Genomic DNA, 18,986 nt, shown 5'->3' on the forward strand with positions numbered 1-18,986 from the left:
GGGAAGCTAGCAATCCAGATTACTCCAAACTTCATCAACCTCATATTGCTCTGGGTACCTCTGGTTTGACCACTACACCGAGGGGCTTCTGAAGCTGTGTAGCACATCTTACAGAGCCTGGCTCTGTCGCCAGCTAAGGAGTTCTCATTCCTTCCTTCTCTCCCTTAGTACATTCCTGATACCTCTGTTTTCTACCAAGTTGCCCAATCCCATTAAGGGTGTGACACAAGAACAAGCCTCCTGCAAGAAAAGGGGATACTCCAGGCTGGGGCTTGGGGAGGCCTTTCTGTGCCTTAGCATCTCTCTCCTTCCCTGAGCTTTAGACAGTGATGCTCCTGATACTAACATCTTTAAATTCTACAGCTACCCTTTAGCCCACATTCTACCAGAAGCAATTTAAGATCCAGACTTTCCCCTACTGAAAGCTCAGAGTACCCCAAATGCATCTTTTCAATAAATTGAATATTATGGGCTAGCTGTTTAACCATGATTGCACTATTACCTTGATATCAAATGCCATTCATTCATTCTTTCACTCCATATATGTGTCTGTATGCAAAGTACTGCCCTGGCTGCTAGGGGGTTGGTGAGGGGCTTCAGGCATGAAGCCCACAGTTAAATATCAAGTTTCAAATGCAGCACATGGATTACAGCTAATTTACTGTGAAATAGTTAATGCAATGAAAAGAGTTCTGACGATCAAAAACGAACAAGTGAAAAGGTTAAACACAAGGCTCTGAGGGAAAAATAAAACTAGATAAGTGTAAGAAATTAGCACAGAGGCTTATCAAAAAAATAAAAATATAAAATACCTAAAGCAGCCCAGGCAATTAAGATATTGAGACAATTAATATACTTGAACATCTCCAAAGAAATCAAAATGGAAATAACTGGCAGGAAATAGAAGGAAGTGCCAAGCTTGGCAGTCAGGAGACCTAGGCTGTGTAACTTTAGGCTCCATCTTGCCTCTATGGGACTCAGTTTTCTCATTCATAAATTGAGAAGCGGAGTCCGTTCTATGTTAAAAGTTCCAAAATTCTATGCAGTAGCTGACAAGTATACATACAAATTAGAGCTAGATTAGAAAGTATTGCAAATGAGCTGAGAAATAGCTGCTGGCGCCATCAGCAGCTGTAGCTTTGGCTCGGAGGTGCCTTCTGTGAAATGGAGCAAGTGAGGGAGTGGGCAGCTCCCAGCCCAGCCTCGCTCCTGGGGGCTGGGGGGCTGTGTTCCTGCTCTTACCTCAGCAGCACGAAAAGCTCTGTCTAGATGCATTCTCCTCACTGGCCCCAGGCAGATGCGCTCTGCTCAGCTGCCTAGCTGCTGGACTGCCCCCGCACAGATCAGGGAAGTTCCCAGAGCAGCACGTGAGACCTGTTTTATGGGATGTTACCACACACAGCTTAAGACACGTTGATCCAGTTCACTCCTAGTTTCTAGGCAAGACGGTACTCAAACTGTCCCAGAAAGAGAGTCATCTACTATTTTGTTAAAAATATCCAAATAAGGAAATCCTACAACCTCTCTGGTGTCTCATATCCCTACTTTGTAACCTAAATCTTTTCTGATACGATTGAAGGTCTCTCTTGGGCTATTCTCAGAGGAAATAACAGGAGCTGTTCAATTCATAAAGATTCCATCACATGCCTTGGTCTCTTTATATTCTTGTAACCTGCTTTTTTAGGGCTTATTCTCCAAATCTTTCATAGTTTTCTTTGCTATCTTCTGGGTCTATGCCAACTTCCTTATAGAATGAATGTAGTAAGAATAGCAGTCATAGAATGTAGAGGTGGAGGGATCTTAGAGATGATCTATCTGGCCACTCCCCTGTCACAGAGGCATGAAATGACACCCAAGTTAAAGGACATGCCTAACATCACAGAGCTTATTGGAGGTGTGGCTGGGACCAGAGTCCAGGCCTCCTTATTTCTCTTCTTTCCTCTTTAATAAGTTTTAAACCCTAAGATAGGACTCTTCTCTTTAATTAAGACCTTCTTCACATATAGTAAGAACAATCCCCCAAGATTTCAAATGTCTTACGAATATAATTTCATGTATGTTTCTTGTACATGAAGGGGAATTTTTCTAGGTATGGCAAAGGCACTGTTCAGGTTTAGGCTGCAATTAACATGTGCCAAATCACATACAAATATTGTGTACACTGGCATCTTCTAGGTCACGATGATTCTTACCCCCTGCATTTGTCTCTATACATTTATTCTATTTTTTTTCCTTAAAGAGACAGATCTCACTATGTTGCCTAGGCAGGAGTGCAGTGGCTCTTCACAGGTGTGATCCCACTACTGATCAGCACAGGAGTTTTGACCTGCTCCATTTCTGGTGTGAGCCAGTGCACCCACTCCTCCTTAAACAACCTAGTGGTCCCCTGCTCCCATATTGATGCCAAACTTAGTGCTGACACCCAATTGACATGGCACACTACAGCCCAGAACTCCTGGACTCAAGCCACCCTCCTGCCTCAGCCTCCCAAGTAGCTAGGACTACAGGCGTGCACCACCACACCTTGTTGTACATTGATTCTTGACCTTGCACTAAGGCCCTCCAAATTTCCTTAGCAACCAAAGAGCAAACCCAATTAAAACAACTCACCACGAGATGAAATGTTCAAAAGACAAGACAGCCAAATTCATAGATCAATAATAAAATGACACCCTCAGACTTATCGCAACAATCATCATGGTTTCAGGCATCCTGTTCTGGAGGCTGGGGAGAATCAGTGAGCCCTTCCTCTGAGCTTTGGTCCAGATCTCTGTAGTGTGGTCCCTGTTACCATTCATCTCTCCTAGCAGATTAGTGTCTGGCCCATGTGAGGTACTCAGTAAATGAGCTGTGTACATGAACAAAACAATCCATAACCTAATGGTATACAGGACTTGAAAAGTCCCCTATCACCTTCTTTGAGGAATTTAACAATAATATTCTTGTGTACATACTTAGACAATCCCATCCACTGAAAGGTACAGACACCCAAAACAAGGCTACTAAATGCTTCAAATTCACATTAAACCACTTTGCTGGAAAGACAACTTTGGTGAGTTAATTTGGTGTCTAAAGGGCAGCTGCTGGCCCGAGGTAGTCTGTGAAATGGCACCTGTGCCTGCTGCCTAGCCCTACCTTGCCAGCCGCAAAAGCGATTCTGTCTGAGATTGCAGATCCTGAGGCTGGGCTTCTTGGCACTGTTGCTGTAAAACCTGCTGGCTGCCGGTAATGCTTGGCAGTGGGTCTCTATCCAACTCTGTAGGGCCTGCTTGTAAGCTGAGCGCTGCTGAGGTGGGAGGGAAAGGAACCTTGGAGACAGAGCAGTGACTGAATGAGGGGCAAACCCACCTGGGATGCACATATGCGGTGTACCAAGGAGCAAGCTGGAAATATAGGTGCTAGCATTTACCTGCATGTAATTTGCGTCTCACTATCTGAACAATGCTATTCATCCCCCAGTAATTCTAAATGTCTGTCACTAAAAAAATTCATACATTTGTAAATTTCTTCCTTCAATAGACATCTGCCAAACACCTACTATATGCCAGGTCCTGTGTTAGATGCTGAGAACACACAGACGTGGCTTTGGCCTGTTGAGTAGGGGAGAGAGACACAGTAACTAGAATACAGCGAAACTTTTTAGATCCACAGGAAGAGGGAAAAAATAGCTCTCCCCTGGAGAGCCAAAGGCGGCCCCCTAGAGGAAGTGACATTTGACCTAGATTTCAACAGAGCAGTAGGAGATTGCTTAAAGATCAGTCTGTTTTTTTCTTCATTCATCAGAGACTCCATGCTCTCTCTATAGAAAGCCTATCTATTTGGAGTCAGAGAAAGGGCAAATAGCTAAAGAACAAATGAAAAGACCAGTTGGTCAGTAATAATAGCCGTTAACATTAATGAGTGGTTAACTCAGTGCTAAATGTTTTACATGCATTCACATTTAATTCTCACCACAATCCTATAGGGTATTACTATGATTCCCACTTTGAGGAAACTGAGGTTTAAATAGCTGGCCCAGGGTCGCACAGCTATAAACTGGAGTGGCCTCCTGCCTTTCCTATCATTTCTGGCTATGGGATTCCTGTATCTCGAGTTTCCCTGCCATCCTTTGGGGTTGCCCTTGAAGGTCAAAGCTCTGACCTCATGTTAATTAGGGAAACACATATTTCTGCAAGGTTTTACTTAGGACTGGGCCCTTCCTAGGCTCTTTAGGGAAGTTCTAAATGTGTCTTCGGTTTCTCAACATCTTTAAAGGAAGTATTAAGAAGAGCAAGAACACAACCAGGCTTGATCTTTTCTGCCTGTGTCCCCCCTGCCACTGGTGGAGAAAAGGGTCCTCTTTGCCCGTGGCCTCCACACCTCAGTCATTCACTCACATTTAATAAAGCACATACCTTGTCCTAAGTACTAAAGATACCAAGATGAACAGCAGAGAATCCTTGCTCCTGAGGGGCACACAGTCCAGTAAACAAAATAGTCACGCAAATGCAAGACTACACTAATATGAATATTTTAAAGATATTATTTGCATGGAGCTACAGGAGCACAGAGAATGAAGTGCAGTGGACCTATGAACAACACAGGTTTCAATGGTGTGCGTCCAATTATACGCAATTTTCTTCAATACAGTCAGCCCTCATTGTCCTCAGGGTCAGCATCTGCAACCAAATGTGGATGGAAAATACAAGTATTCGCAGAATGCGAAACTCAGGGCGACCAAGGGCCAACTTTTCGTACATGTGGGTACCACAGGGCTGACTGCAGGACTTGAGTATGTATGGATTTTAGTACCGAGGGGGTTACTGGAACCAGTGCCCTGTGGATACCATGGAACAACTGTATTTAACTCTGCCTGGGAAGGCAAAAGAAGGTTTTCCAGAGAAGGTGATGTTGCCCACTGAGCTAAGTCTTAGGGAACCAGTAGTTTTCCAAACAGACAAAATAGAAAAGGGCATTTCAGGCAGAGAAAATAGCTCTGCAGGGCGAGGCATGGTGGCTCACGCCTGTAATCCCTGTACTTTGGGAGGCTGAGATGGGTGGATCACCTGAGGTCAGGAGTTCAAAACCAGCCTGGCCAACATGGTGAAAACCCATCTCTACTAAAAATACAAAAATTAGCCAGGCATGGTGATGGGTGCCTGTAATCCCAGCTACTCATGAGGCTGAGGCAGGAGAATCACTTGAACCCGGGAGGCAGAGGTTGCAGTGAGCTGAGATCACGCCATTGCACTCCAGTCTGGGCCACAGAGCAAGGCTCCATTACATTAAAAAAAAGGAAGAAAGAAAAGAAAAGAAAGAGAAAATAGCTCTACAAAGTGCAAAGCAAAAGCACACACAGGAAGCTGTGGCAGGTTGGGTGTGGCTACAGACAGGGATGCAGGAGGAGACCTCCAGGATGAGAGGTTGGTGAGGTGGTGTCAGCGTGCTGCTCGTTCTCACTAGCTCTTGTTTCTAGAGGCAAAACCTCGGTGATGCAGGCTATACTCCACTCACCACAGGTAATGTGAATACAAACAACAAAATAATTCTGCCCGGAAACCATTTTGGTTTGTGTGTGCATAGCTTTCTCCTTATGTCATTATCTCCCATTTAGAAAATACTGCAAAGACAGGAGGGAACTGAACATGTTAGAATGGGGAAATAGGGGCCCTGGAGGGTGAAGTCACTCCCCAAAGTCTCAAAGTAAGTCAGTGACTGGTCCAAAAAGAGAAGTAAGTGGAACCTCTGGAGTCTTAGTTTGGTCGAAGCAATGCGTGGGAAAAACACAAGTCAGTTGGCATTTTAAGAACCTAAAGTTTTATTTAAAAAACCTTTGAGATGCACGGTCCATGAAATGTGCTTTACTTCTTAGATGTGTGGATCTAGGATACAGGGATACACCCATGTAAAGGCATTCCAAACAAAAGCTAATGTTCCTCGCTTCCTTTATGAAATTAGGATCATTATATATTGTTTTTAAAATGAATCAACTAGGCAGTGACATGGTATGGTGAAATGCTGAATTTTCTGACTCAACTATTTTTTGCTGTGTGTATTTGAATGTGTTACTTAAATTTTCCGAGCCTCAGTTTCTTCATCTTTAAAGAAGGGGTGCTAATAATGCAATCACACCGTTCATTTCATAGGGCAGCATTAGGATTAGGTGAGACAGAGTGTTTAAAATATATACAACAGTGCCTGGTGACTGAAGGGAGAAAGAGAGGAAGAGAGGAAGGAAAGAAAGAAGGAAAAGGGAAGGAACAGAGGAAGTTAAAAGAAAATGTAAAAGAACTAGAACTTTTGCAAAATTATCTTGGAGAACAAATCCCAATTTCTAGTATAAACTGTAGGAAATATTGTCAAGTCGCAACTTAAAAGCAAAGATTAGTTGTGTTGTATACTATGTGTTTTGTGTGGGTGTAAATCTAGATCTCACATCCATGCTCTATGTTTTAATGTTCTCAGTCTGGCTTATTTTGGCTTTGGTACCACATTTCTTATTCGGAGTCCTTGAAGTCAGGTATTGCAGAACTGGTACATGATACCAACCCAAAGCCAACAGCATTGGTATTAGCTCATCCTGAGTGGTGAAGGGGCTCCGGGCTTTGCCTTGCCTGAGTACTGACAGTGGAAAGTACCTTCTAACAGTTGAGGAAGTATGGCCAGAGTGGAAAAATGTACAGCAATCTTAAGAAAAGCCCAACCACATACACTATGAGCCATGAAAAGAAAAGAGATCTCTGGGCATCTGTGATGAGGACCACTGGGCAACATCTCCTCTCTGTCAGATGCACCAATGCTCAGAACTGATTCTGTTATCCTGCACTACACTCTACCTCCTCTCCACTCTCTAATTCTCCAGGCATTTTTACCATTGTAGTCTGAGCTGAAAAACAGTGAGACAATGTACAGCAGACATTTGTATACAAGCAATGATAACAGAAACTTCTATTTATTTGTAATAATGTGATCTCATTCTCAATAGGCTTCTTGGATTTTAGAATCTCTAATGACAAGCTTATTTGCAGAAAAAAACAAAAGGAGAAGTTACAGATAAATTGAGACAGGAAATTTGTATTAATTTGATGGGCTCTCTTTATCTTCATTTTTTTTAAAAGTTACAGTTTAGTTGGTAAATATTTACCAATACCAACGTACAATGGAATATGTATAACATTTCTTTTATCAAAATTTTAAGTGCCTAAATAGCCTAATCTAATATCTTCACAGCTATTATTTTAAAGACTTCCCACCATAAAATCCTCAAGCATTTATATTTATTTCTCAAATATGTTTGGTATACCAGCCGACCTAACAAAAGGAGACTTGGGATCTCTTCCTGATAGAACATGTGGAATTATAGGCCGGGTGCAGTGACTCACACTTGTAATCCCAGAACTTTGGGAGGCCGAAGTAGGGGGATCGCCTGAGGTCAGGAGTTCAAGACCAGCCTGGCCAATGTGGTGAAACCCTGTCTCTACTAAAAATACAAAAACATTAGCTGAGCGTGGTGGTGTGTGCCTGTAATCCCAGCTACTCAGGAGGCTGAGGCAGGAGAATCTCTTGAACCCAGTAGGCGGAAGTTGCAGTGAGCTAAGATTGTGCCTGGGCAACAAGAGCGAAAACTCCATCTTCAAAAAAAAAAAAAAAAAGAAAAAAGAAAGAAAATGTGGAATTACAAATAATCATTCAATAATCATGGAAACACAAAAAAGTATATAGACATATTATCAGGAAGCAACTAGTGGATCATGTTAGAAGATACAAAACAGTTTAAATAGACATGGATTATACTTTTAAGAAACTGCCAACATAAAATGAGAGAGAGGAAAGGTGTGAATCTTGACTCTGCCAGTTACTGGTTCTGTGACCCCAGACAAGTCACTTAACCCTCCCTGAACCTCAGCTTGGTCATCTGGAATAAGGATATAATTAATAACAACTTTACCTAGCTATGTATGAAAATAAAAGAGTAATTATCTTTCAAGCGTTTGGCATGATGCCTAGTAAATATTAGGGGCTCAGTAAGTCAGTGGTGACGCTGGGTGGAGTAGATATGCTCCATATCTACCTAGACGACAACATGGGAAAATGGAAGGGGAAAATAACCCACATCACACCTAGCGAGTAGATAGCACTTGCCTGATTTTATAGATGAGGAAACTGAACTTCAGAGGCTCCAGAGACTTGCTCAGCCTCCACATTTACCAAGAGCCCAGAATATAAATCCAAATCTGTCTCTACCTTTGCTCCCCTTTCTTTATACCACATTTGCCTCTTTTGTGCCTGGGAGCTGCAGACACTCAGCTTTAAAGAACTGGTACTGGAGATATGGTACTGGAGGAAGAACTGCGTGCAGTGAACAGTAGGGTGGGTACGGAGGGAGGAGAAAAACTGTGTGAACATCACCAGGTAGATGAAGTATCACAACTGTCATTCTCAGTGGTCACAGAAAAGAAACAGAATCCATGATATTTTGAGGAACAGTCCCAACATGAATGACAGCAAGAAAAGGAAAAAATCCAAAGTTTTCCAAGGTGCCTACCATATTCCATATTTTCAAAGGGAAACTTTAAAACTGTTTATAAAGCATTAGAAACAGTGGGGGAAGTTCAGTTCGCATTTTTAAGATGACAAAAGAGTGCTCAACAGTGCAAAACTACAGGCATGATCTTCTCTTTTTTCCTTACTCCCACTTTGCACCTATTACCTAGCTTTCTCTATAAAGAATTTATATCCCACTCTTCTTTGTTCAAGCTGGCCTTTCTGGTGAGGGTGATATGAGCAGATGATGTCAAGGAGGTACAAAGGATCTACTTTTTAAATGTTACACCTGAGATTACTAGAGGCTGGGAAGGGTAGGGGGAAGGTGGAGGATAGGAGAGATTTGTTTAGATACAAAATTATAGCTAGACAGGAGGAATAAGCTCTCATGTTCTATAGCACTATAGGATAACTATAGTTAACAGTACATAGTTTTAAAATGGCTAGAAGAGAGGCGATTGAATGTTTCCAGCACAAGAAATAAAAAATGTTTGAGATGATGGATATGCTGATTACCCTGATCTCATCACTAGACATTGTATGTATTGAAACATTACTAGGTACCCCATAAATACATACCGTTATATGTCAATTTAAAAATAAATAAAAACTGAAAAAACATTTTCAGGATGGAAGCTATATTGAATGCACACACATCTATTATAATCTCATGAATTATTATAAAAGGTTTTTATGGAAAAAAAGTTGCACCTGAGGTTAATAAAGATCCACTTCTAATTTTAAACTTTGCCTAAGGAATGCTGAATAGGGAAAATATGCAAATTTTATACAAATAACATTTGTGTATCCTTTTACTTCACACATTTGGATACATAGCTTGGATAAATTTTAGTGACTACTACCAGACTGAGGAAACAAAATGCAGGGTATTATTTAAATACAAGGTAATTGTTCCATTAATTCACTTCCCTCTAGAAAGTGCAACCAGAAAAAGAAGGAAAGCAAATTATCTGGGAGATTGCAATTCACATGCATAATTAATCTGCTTGCTGAATTTGGTGTCAGCTTTTCTGCTATGGAAAACATAATCTCTTTTTCACTTTAGCTTATCCAGTCAAGAAGGAGTGTGTGAGTGAGTGTGTGTGTGTGTTTCCGTGTATGTGTGTTTATTTGTGTGTGTGTGTGTGTGTGTGTGTGTGAGAGAGCGAGAGAGAGAGAGGGAGGGAGACCCTCCCTTCTGTCCATGTAACAGATGCTGAAATAAGAATCAATGCTGCAACCACAGAACTGTGGGTTTGCTAGTTCCCCAATTTAACATAGCTTTTCCTTCCGCCAGAAAGAACAACTGACCATCTTTGAGTAACAGGCTCCTTGTACTTGCAAGTGGGGCTGACACAGCCATGGCTCTGAAGTTGAGCAAAACTTACTTAAACCCAGTAAGTGGTTCACTTTTACCTCTCTTCTTCCACTAACATTTAAAGCAATGTTTCATTCTTTCTCAGTTTTTAGGACACTTATATTTGGCCATTACTATACAATCATAGATATGTGTACTTGGGTATAAAAAGTAGAATGTTTAATCTATTCATGTCTATCAGTCACAACAGACTAGAAAATGTGAATGCCACTTGACTAAAATTATTCTAAACTTTAAAGGCCGGGCGCGGTGGCTCACGCCTGTAATCCCAGCACTTTGGGAGGCCGAGGCAGGCAGATCACGAGGTCAGGAGATCGAGACCGTCCTGGCTAACAAGGTGAAACCCGTCTCTACTAAAAATACAAAAAATTAGCCGGGCGTGGTGGTGGGCGCCTGTAGTCCCAGCTACTCGGGAGGCTGAGGCAGGAGAATCGCTTGAACCCAGGAGGCGGAGGTTTCAGTAAGCCGAGATCACGCAACTGTACTCCAGCCTGGGTGAGCCAGGAGGCAGAGGTTTCAGTGAGCCGAGATCGCGCCACTGCACTCCAGCCTGGGCGACAGAGTGAAACTCTGTCTCAAAAAACAAACAAACAAACAAACAAAAGACTAAGAACCTTTTAAAGTTTTTGAGGGTGGAGATCATGTTTTGTGACCCATGCAGAGGCCTGTAATTGTTAACAACCAACTTCTACTCAGTCAAGTGTACAGAGGGGCTGACTACTGATGCTGTTGCTGCTGCTGCTGCTGCTGATGGTGATGATAATGATGATGATGATGATATGATGACACAGAATAATTTGTTTATAAAAGCACTTATCATATAGATGCATTTATTTGGGGAAGTATTATGATTATTTGAGCTCAACTTGAGGGCTTAGTTACAAATAAGCACCATGGTTTGCTACCTGTTTATTCCAGGAAGTTGCCTTGAAATTCAACAGTTAAGACAAAATTGATCCAATTGTAGAAAATTAAATAAAATACGTGAATGAATGAACTTGCCTTCAAATATGAAGAGGACACCAGACACTACCTCACAGGACTGTATGACAACTAAATGCTTTCATAGGGTTAAAGCACTTAGAAAAACACCTGATTCAATGTAAGTATTAACGTTATTATTAGGATGATTAATTGAAGCGCCTTCCACTCCCCCCCATCCCCCACCGATATCTTACAAGATGGAGCAGTTATGCAATTTCTGGGCAGACTGATGTAAGCATTGAAACTGACAAACCAAAACAACAGGAACAGTCAATAGTATAAGGCAGGAAGTTGGATCAGAAGGGAACTGAGGAAAGCAACAAGGAGATGCCATCTGGGGAACACCACGGCCACAGCAGCTATAGGGAGATATCCCTAGGAAACCAACATCTAATCAGGAGGTGACTTCCGAGAGCCTCAAAATGAAGACCCTGTAGAACATTAACACTTTTTTAAGGAGTGCGCTTCCATCTGGCAAAATAGGAACACTTGAAACTCTTCAAATCTGTGGACACTGATTAGTTTTATATTTTGATGTGTCCTAATTCTAATGTTTATTTCTGCAGTGTTCAGTATACAGATGAAATAGTATCATTTCATTTGATATCTGTAAGTTGGGAAACTAGCAGATAAAAAAACACTAGGAAGAAAATTAGATTAACTGAAATAATGTCACTCTACTATAAAATCTACTATTAGTAATAAAGTCCAAGCCTTTATAATCTTATTTTATAAGTGTTTGACTCTTCATAAGTATAACCTTATAAGCAGATTTCTTAATTTTATTTTACCTAAGCTGATTTTAAAAGTTGCTTGCCATCTCTCCTGTATACACAGAAGGGCCTGTACTCTTTAGGTAACAAGGAGAAGTTGACTTGAGAATTTTCTGAGAATAATCCAAAGTGACTAAGTAAAAGTTAACAACTGCCCTTGTGTTCTTTGTCATCAAAGAGGCCCATTATTGGGTATATAGTTTTGGCAAGGGTAGCTAAGTTTTGGCCCAACCAATGTATTTATACTAAAAAAATGAGATTGTAATTTTCCCTGTTTGTTAGTCATTGTACAATTTTTTAAATTTCTTGAGGTCAATGTCTATATGATACTTTGAAGCTAAAATGAGACTAGGGCTTCGGTAAAGCTGAAACATGGTAGAATGCAAAATATTATATTATTGTTGCATCTTCATTCATAGCAATAAATGGAAACTCAGTAAATATTAAGTTAATAAGTACAATCAAAGTCTTTCATGCGTATGTAAGAAGCTGAGAAAAAAAATACTTGTGACAAATTTTCAATTCAATAAATGCCTTTAGTATCTACATGTGCCAGGAAAGATGGAGAAGGAGCTCAGGTCTGTCAGCAAATAAGTACTTGAAACTAAGACAATGTGATTAATGTTATACTTACTCCAAGATCAAAGCATTGAGCAAATGCACACCAAAGAAACATTTAGTGGGGGCAGGGAGAAGATGGGAAGGCCTCCAAAAGGGTATGTTTCTTGAAGTCCGCCTTGAAAAATGATCAGAAGTTTTAAAAATAAAGAAGAATGCAATTAAAGAAACAGTTGCAGTGAAAAAAGGTGAAAGAGAATGGAACTTTCTGGTGGCTTGTGGTCTGGTGCACCAAAATGTGGGTTAGCAGTGGCGGGGGAGGGGATGGGGTAGTGGGAGGTTGAACAGAAGGAAGTGACAAGAAATAAGATTGGGGAAGTGGGTCGAGGCAAGTTTGTAAAGGCACACAATTCTTTAGTAAAATTATGCATTAATTTAAAAATAGTTCTTCAGCCCATTATTATATAAAACCTGCAATGGTATCTCTTATTTATAAAAATAAAAATGTTTGTAAATTTATTACAAAGTTTTTCTTCTCTCTCTCTCTCTCTTCTTTCTCTTGCTCTCTCTCTTTTATTCTCTCTTAAAACTGTGAGTGCCAAGATCTTGTTAGCTAGCTTCAGTAATAAAAGTCTATAATCACCTACCTCTGAGAAAAATATGCTGGCCTGGAAGGGAGGATCTGTAACACACACAGTCAGTAGGAGCCTGAAATCCTGGCCATCTACTGCCCCCCACCCCAACTGCCCAGTGACCTATGGCCGGTTCCTTCAATTATCTAGCCCATTCCTTATCTCTAAAGGTAGCTGAGAGGATTAAACGAGGTAATGCATAAAGAGTAGCTGCTTACACTACGTGCTCATAATTATTGAGTGCTATTATTAATTTCCTGTCCTCTCCAAGTTAAATGGTACTTTAACAACAAGTAAATGAGACTTTACTTGTTGGTCTTCCCTTCCCCAAAGGGTTCAGAGATAGAATTATAAATGAAGTTAAAGCACTGAAATTGTTTCCCAAATTACCAATTGTTTCAAGGCATAATTTACAAAAGAGACAAAAATTTAAATGCTACAAAGAAAAGGGTCTCTGGGATTGCTAAGGAAATGTCCTCCTAGGCACAACTCCATCCCACCACAGCAGTGCTTGTTCAAAGGGCAAGACCTAGAAGATTTTTCCCCTGATGTTCCTGGGGGTGAGCTAGAATGAAGAGGAATATCTTTGTAACATATGGGGTTGATGCTTTAGCAATGTAAACTTAACTTTAAACAGGGGACCTTTATATTTTGAATTAACTTTCGCATAGTTCTTTTTTATTCCTTCGTAAATATAAGAAAAATACTGACATTCCTTCACATTCGAATTTATTTTATTCTCATTAATAGTTTTACTTAAAATAAGACACAACATATTTTTAGTCTGTTCTTTTACGGGGTTCAAGTCCCTCTTATCTCAGTTTCACATTTTTGCTTGTTTGAAACTATTCAGGTGAGATGTGCAAAGTAACATTGGTGGTCACATTTTGCAGTTTCCAGAAATTCACATTTATAGGTAAATGATTAATTCTATTCAAATTTGTCTACACAGACATTCTTTAAACAATTATACTTAATAGAAACCAAACTTATGACAAATGTATGTAAATTCAAAATCAAGATGTGTGTGGATAAGCCACCTTTATTTGCTTACTGATAGTTCTGACAGAGTAATTTTAGAAAACAAGTTGCTGTGTAAAAGAAAAGTTCGGTTTTGATAAACATCCTGATTAATGTTCGCATTTCCAGTCTGAATGGCTTTTATAGTTATCATTTGTCAATGGTTCTTAGTGTTATGTGATAGTGGTAATTAAGTAAAAGCTTATACTACAAAATCCAAAGTGTCTATGTTTGGGCAGTTTCTGAAATAAATATCCCATATCAACTGTGTAAAAATTTCTATTGTAGATAAAAGCCTTTCTCCCAGAATTTGAGTGAATATTCATTGATATGGTCATAAGCATAACAAATAATTCAGACAATCCTACAAAAACACTACAATTAAGCATTATACAAATTGCTTTTATTTTTAGAGAACAAATGGAAAAGAGAAAACCTCTAATTCCATGTGGTTATAAAGCACACCCATTAAAAACCCTTGGCGCCAAAAATCACTCAAATAACCAGTATCACATTCAGTAACATATGACTCTAGATAATTTATCCACTAAAGTACTGTAAAGAAGTTTTTTAGAAAAACAGAACCGCAGGAACTAAAATTAAACTACCCCCATTGGGCCAATAAGCCATACAATCTAAATTATCAATACGCGCTTTTCCTGAAAACATTTTAAAGAAGATAAAATCACAGTAAATAGCCTCCGTGAAATAGAGCAATAGAAATAAACCAGAACATGGTTTGGTTTTAAAAGGAAAAAGAAACCTTAATTTTGGGCAGGGGTGATAACTGCAGATAAGTTGAGAAGAACCCAGCCCAGAGAGCCGAGGTGCTCCATCTTGGATGGCCACGCGAGGTGGCGGCAGATGTCCTGGCCAGTTAGACAGTGGCAGGAATCACAGAGGTCTCAGGTGACATGCTCAGATCTCTGGTCCCCTGAAGGCAAAACCCACAATCCACAGAAACAGTGCCGAAGTGCATCACAAGCGCTTAAAACCAACAAAAACACATGAAGAACATTTACCTTGCAGGAAAAAAGCTGTCCTTGGTAGTACTGGTGTATGACCAGGAACCCCTTCTTTCTGATCTGCAGAACAGCTTTGTCAAGCCTGGGTGTGTGGTCACAAGGCAGGAAGTGACTAGAATGACAAATCATCAGCCAGGAAAGAAAAAGATTTTGTCTTTATAAGGACATTTTAACTTTTTTTTCATGTCCCCGCCCCACCAAAAATCACCTGACAGAACAGGTCACAGTGAAATTCAGACACCTCCTACCACTTCCTCTTTTTTTTTTTTTTTTTTGAGACAAGGTCCCGCTCTTTTGCCCACCTCTTTATAAGCATTTTTCTCTCTCCCTTTCTCCTCCAGCTGTCTTTGAGTAGTCCCTGGGCTACTTAAACCTTTCTGATTCTAGATAGCAAGGCAAGATCAGCCTGATAACTTGACTTCTTTGACTCTAGTTGCAAAAGCAAAGCCCAGATGCCTACCTACTTACAGCAAAGATCAACAAATTTTTCATTTTTAGTGAAAGAGCCAGGGAAAAAGGTGGCAGTACACCTGAAACAAATGAAAAGGGACTTCCTTGGGAAAGCCCCACCCCACCTGAAATCAAACCTCTCTGGAGTCCTCTAACAGTGATCTTATTGGTGCAAACAAAACAGAACGATCTCTTTAAGTGAAGGACATGAAAAGGAAGGTTACTAGATTATTTACTCATTCTTTTATTTATAGAACATCTATGTGCTAGGGATCTCTTTAACCCAATTAAGTATCTCAATTATTTAAGCGTTTCCTATAAAGAGCAGCAGTAGATTGCACAGGCAGCTGTTATATTTAAATGGGTAGCTTAATTCCTTCTTACAGGCAGGATTTTTTTTTGAATGCACATTTTATAAAATTAGCAGGTGGTGGCAGGGGAAGCTCTGTTCTGTACCCAAACCCCAGATGCTTGAGGGCAAATTCCTATCTTCAAATGGAGCATCCTCAAGTGCTCACAACAGTTGTGAAGACTGTGGCACCCTGAGTTATGTTGACTAAATATTAGACATGTCTCCACATTGCCCGGAGACTGTGTGTGACTCCAGTAGTCAATCTGCCGTTTAGGAATGAGGGTATGTGGCTGTACTCCCAGGTCAGATGCTGCGCTGAAGATATCTGCTCCAGAGTTGACATGCGTCCGTGTCCGCTGGGCCACGGGCCTCTCAGGTGGTCACGGTATTCTGACTGGTTGGAGGGCTGCCCTTATACTTCTTTTGCTTTTTTGATTTCTCCTCTAGAAAGTTCCTGTTTCTGACCTTAAATGTTAAACCAAACTGTTCTGGTTTATCTACTTCATTAGCCAGTGGTGTGGTGACTTCATCAGAAGCCCACAGGGGCTATCTTGAGGAACTGGGTGGGCGGAAGAACAGGACGAGACGGTGGGGATTCTAGAAACGGTTCACCTCACAGAGAGCTATCAGCCCTCTTGTGATTTCCCAGGGAAGACTGAGGGGGTGATGGGACTCTGTTTTCTCCATCGCATAATCACTCCCAATTAATAAGTTGCAGAGAGCTTTCAAGAAGCACCTACATTCTTTCAGGACACCAGAGGAACATCCATGCATCACTGTTACAGCACTGCTCACGCTACAAAGCAGCAAAATGCTGTCTTCATTCGGGGCCCTGCAGCAGGACTCTGTAGATAATGTCCTGCTGGTGTTACAGATACAAGGGGTTGTAACTGTGGACCTCCCTGATCTGGTTCCACATCCTGGTGGCTTCAGGATGGCATAAAGGCCCAACAGTAACACTTCATGAAGGGGAACAGATATTTATTCCTTTACCTTGGAGAAGGAAAGCACAGTGTTCTGTATCTAGTGGTGCCTGGTCATCTGAGGCCGGAGGAATCTATGAAGAAGAGCAAAATATATTTGTGCATTGGTTCAGCAAGTGTTTGCATGCCTGTCTGAATTGGTGATTCAGAAATAAATAAGACACAATCGCTGTTCTCAAGGAGTATAGTCTAGTGGGGAAAAAACATGTAAGTAAATAAATGCCATCTATAATAGAGGGGTGAAAAAGGCAGTGTGATATCAAAGCAGTTGCAGATTTGAGCAGAGGTGATGTTTGTTAAGTGAAGAAAAAGATTTAGGATTCCAGGCAACGTCGAGGTTGTAGAAGATGAAAGGCATTGACCTGGGTACTGCTTACAGCCACCCAGTTAATAGAGTCGTCTTCTACCCTAGCATCCACGGCAGGCACCCACACCCCCTCAGCCACATCCTGGCCGGCACCATTGCAAGCCCTGCCCTACTCCCTCAATCTTAATCTCTTTATCTGCCTCTCATTGGTGTAAGTCTACCCAGTTTCAGGCAATTGTTTAGGTCCTAGACCAAGACTTTTTCAGAGAAGTGTATTTTTTTGCTGTTGGTGTTTTAAATTGCTTGTGCAGCATAGTACTAGTAAACAGAAGACTGACTTTTGGTTTTCTTACGTTTTTATGTTCTGTACAGACAGTGCGCCCCCTTATGGCCTGAAGCCGGAGTGGACCTTTCTCAGCCCACCCTCTATGAGCCTCCACTGCCACCTGTTCCTGGCCTGGGTTTTGCCTTCCTCTAAGCCCTACCACCCTCTCAGACTTCATCCCACCCTCTCCTGCCCTGAAGCCTCTGGCCTCAGTCCCAGATATCAGATCACCTGCTACTCTCAGGCCTCTAAATATTGCTGAGGAAAGTCACAGAAACACAAACTTGGAATGCTAAAAAGTCAAGATGCTTGACTTCAAATTACTTTCAGAAATACTTCTATTCAATTTTACTAAGTCTTGAGAACAGGCATTCTCAACCTGGAGTCCATAGACCCCTAAAACTAAATGCACAATTTTGTGTGTATGTACTTTTTTTCTGGGAGAAGGGTCCATTGTATTAGTAAAGAGATCACAGACCCCAAAAAGTTGGGTATTTATTCTAAACTCTCTCCTCTTGCCTCAACCTTCCACTTCACCCTCCTATGCTTTGTCCTGGCCCAAGATTCTTCTGTTGCCCCTTCTTGACTGAGATGATCCAAGTCGTCTGGTATGAGCTTCCTCTCTACTTCCACAATATCCACCTCTTCCTCCTCTCTTTCAGTCTTAATGGAAGCGGCATTCTTCTTTCTTCCCAAGGTCAGTGTTTCAACACTATCTCACTCTTAATATTCTACTTCCTTAGATATCTTGCTCCATCAATTGTCTCGTGTTTCTCTAGCATCTTAATGCTAGCATCTTCAGCTCTCCCCACTTCCTCTCCATGCACTCATGGGATTTGTATGAAGAGAAAAACACCTTTGCTTCACTCTGCAGCCCACCCTCATCCCAACATATCATGGGCAGGGAATGAAGATGAATTAAGATGGGTACAGTCCTTGCCATTGTAGAATGTCCACTGTAGTTGAAGACACAGACAAGGAAAAAAGGCAAGTGAAGAGTTATCTACTTGGAAGCACAACAGACGAAAAGCAGCGTCCCTAGGAGCACACAGCACTAACCCAGACATGGGACCTGGGAGGCAGAGAGAGGGAGCATCAAAGTGGTGAAGAGTAAAGATGCTGGGCCAGCTGGCTGGGGTCAAGTTCCAGCTCTACTGTTGTACTAGCTGTGTGATCTTGGGCAAATTAGTTACTTGCACTGGCCTCAGTTTCCTAGTCTATAAAATGGGGGTAAGAACAGTGTCTATTTTAGACAGTTGTTGCAAGGGGTAAGTGAATTGATATATGTAAAGAACTTAGAAGAGTGCCTGGCACGTAGTATATCCTATGTACGTGTTAACTAATCGCTTAATATTTACGTCAGGCTCTGGACTAGACCCCTAACATCCATTATTTCATTTATTCCTCACAACAACTCTATGAATTAGGTATGATTGTTAATTTTTTTCTTTAATTTTTAAAATAATGGCTTCATTGCAATATGATTTACATACCATAAAATTCACCTTTAAAAAGTATACAATTCAGTGGTTTGTTGTATTTTAACAGAGTTGTGCAACAATTACACTATATAATTCCAGAACATTTTCATCATCCCCAAAAGAAACTCTGTACCTGTTAGAGATTCCTCCCCATTCACCCCCATCTCCCAAATTCCCAGCCACAGCCAACCACTA

At 41.0% G+C, this 18,986-nt stretch overlaps 1 protein-coding gene and 1 pseudogene across 3 annotated transcripts in view, besides 3 other annotated features; both read right to left on the reverse strand.

The window, feature by feature from the left end:
• The window catches only part of LCP1 (lymphocyte cytosolic protein 1), a 56,255-nt gene extending 41,298 nt beyond the window's left edge, over window positions 1–14,957 (reverse strand). For 2 of the 3 annotated variants that reach the window (NM_002298.5, XM_047430305.1), the window contains exon 1: window positions 14,891–14,957. The gene's annotated coding sequence lies outside the window, so the exon portion shown is untranslated. Of the gene's footprint in view, window positions 1–1,242 lie in introns of all 3 variants that reach the window. The other variant, XM_005266374.3, reaches the window with a different exon arrangement.
• On the reverse strand, window positions 2,238–2,524 carry RN7SL288P (RNA, 7SL, cytoplasmic 288, pseudogene; annotated as a pseudogene).
• Window positions 5,258–5,307: an enhancer, noted in NCBI's record as "active region_7691". NCBI's record gives its function as "activates an Ori minimal core promoter by ATAC-STARR-seq in GM12878 lymphoblastoid cells {active_cell/tissue: GM12878}" and the evidence as "EXISTENCE:reporter gene assay evidence [ECO:0000049][PMID:35858748]".
• Window positions 9,708–9,767: an enhancer, noted in NCBI's record as "active region_7692". NCBI's record gives its function as "activates an Ori minimal core promoter by ATAC-STARR-seq in GM12878 lymphoblastoid cells {active_cell/tissue: GM12878}" and the evidence as "EXISTENCE:reporter gene assay evidence [ECO:0000049][PMID:35858748]".
• Window positions 14,620–15,049: an enhancer, noted in NCBI's record as "active region_7693". NCBI's record gives its function as "activates an Ori minimal core promoter by ATAC-STARR-seq in GM12878 lymphoblastoid cells {active_cell/tissue: GM12878}" and the evidence as "EXISTENCE:reporter gene assay evidence [ECO:0000049][PMID:35858748]".

This window comes from Homo sapiens, chromosome 13 (assembly GCF_000001405.40).
Source record: "Homo sapiens chromosome 13, GRCh38.p14 Primary Assembly".
In the NCBI taxonomy this organism is placed as follows: Eukaryota; Metazoa; Chordata; class Mammalia; order Primates; family Hominidae; genus Homo; species Homo sapiens.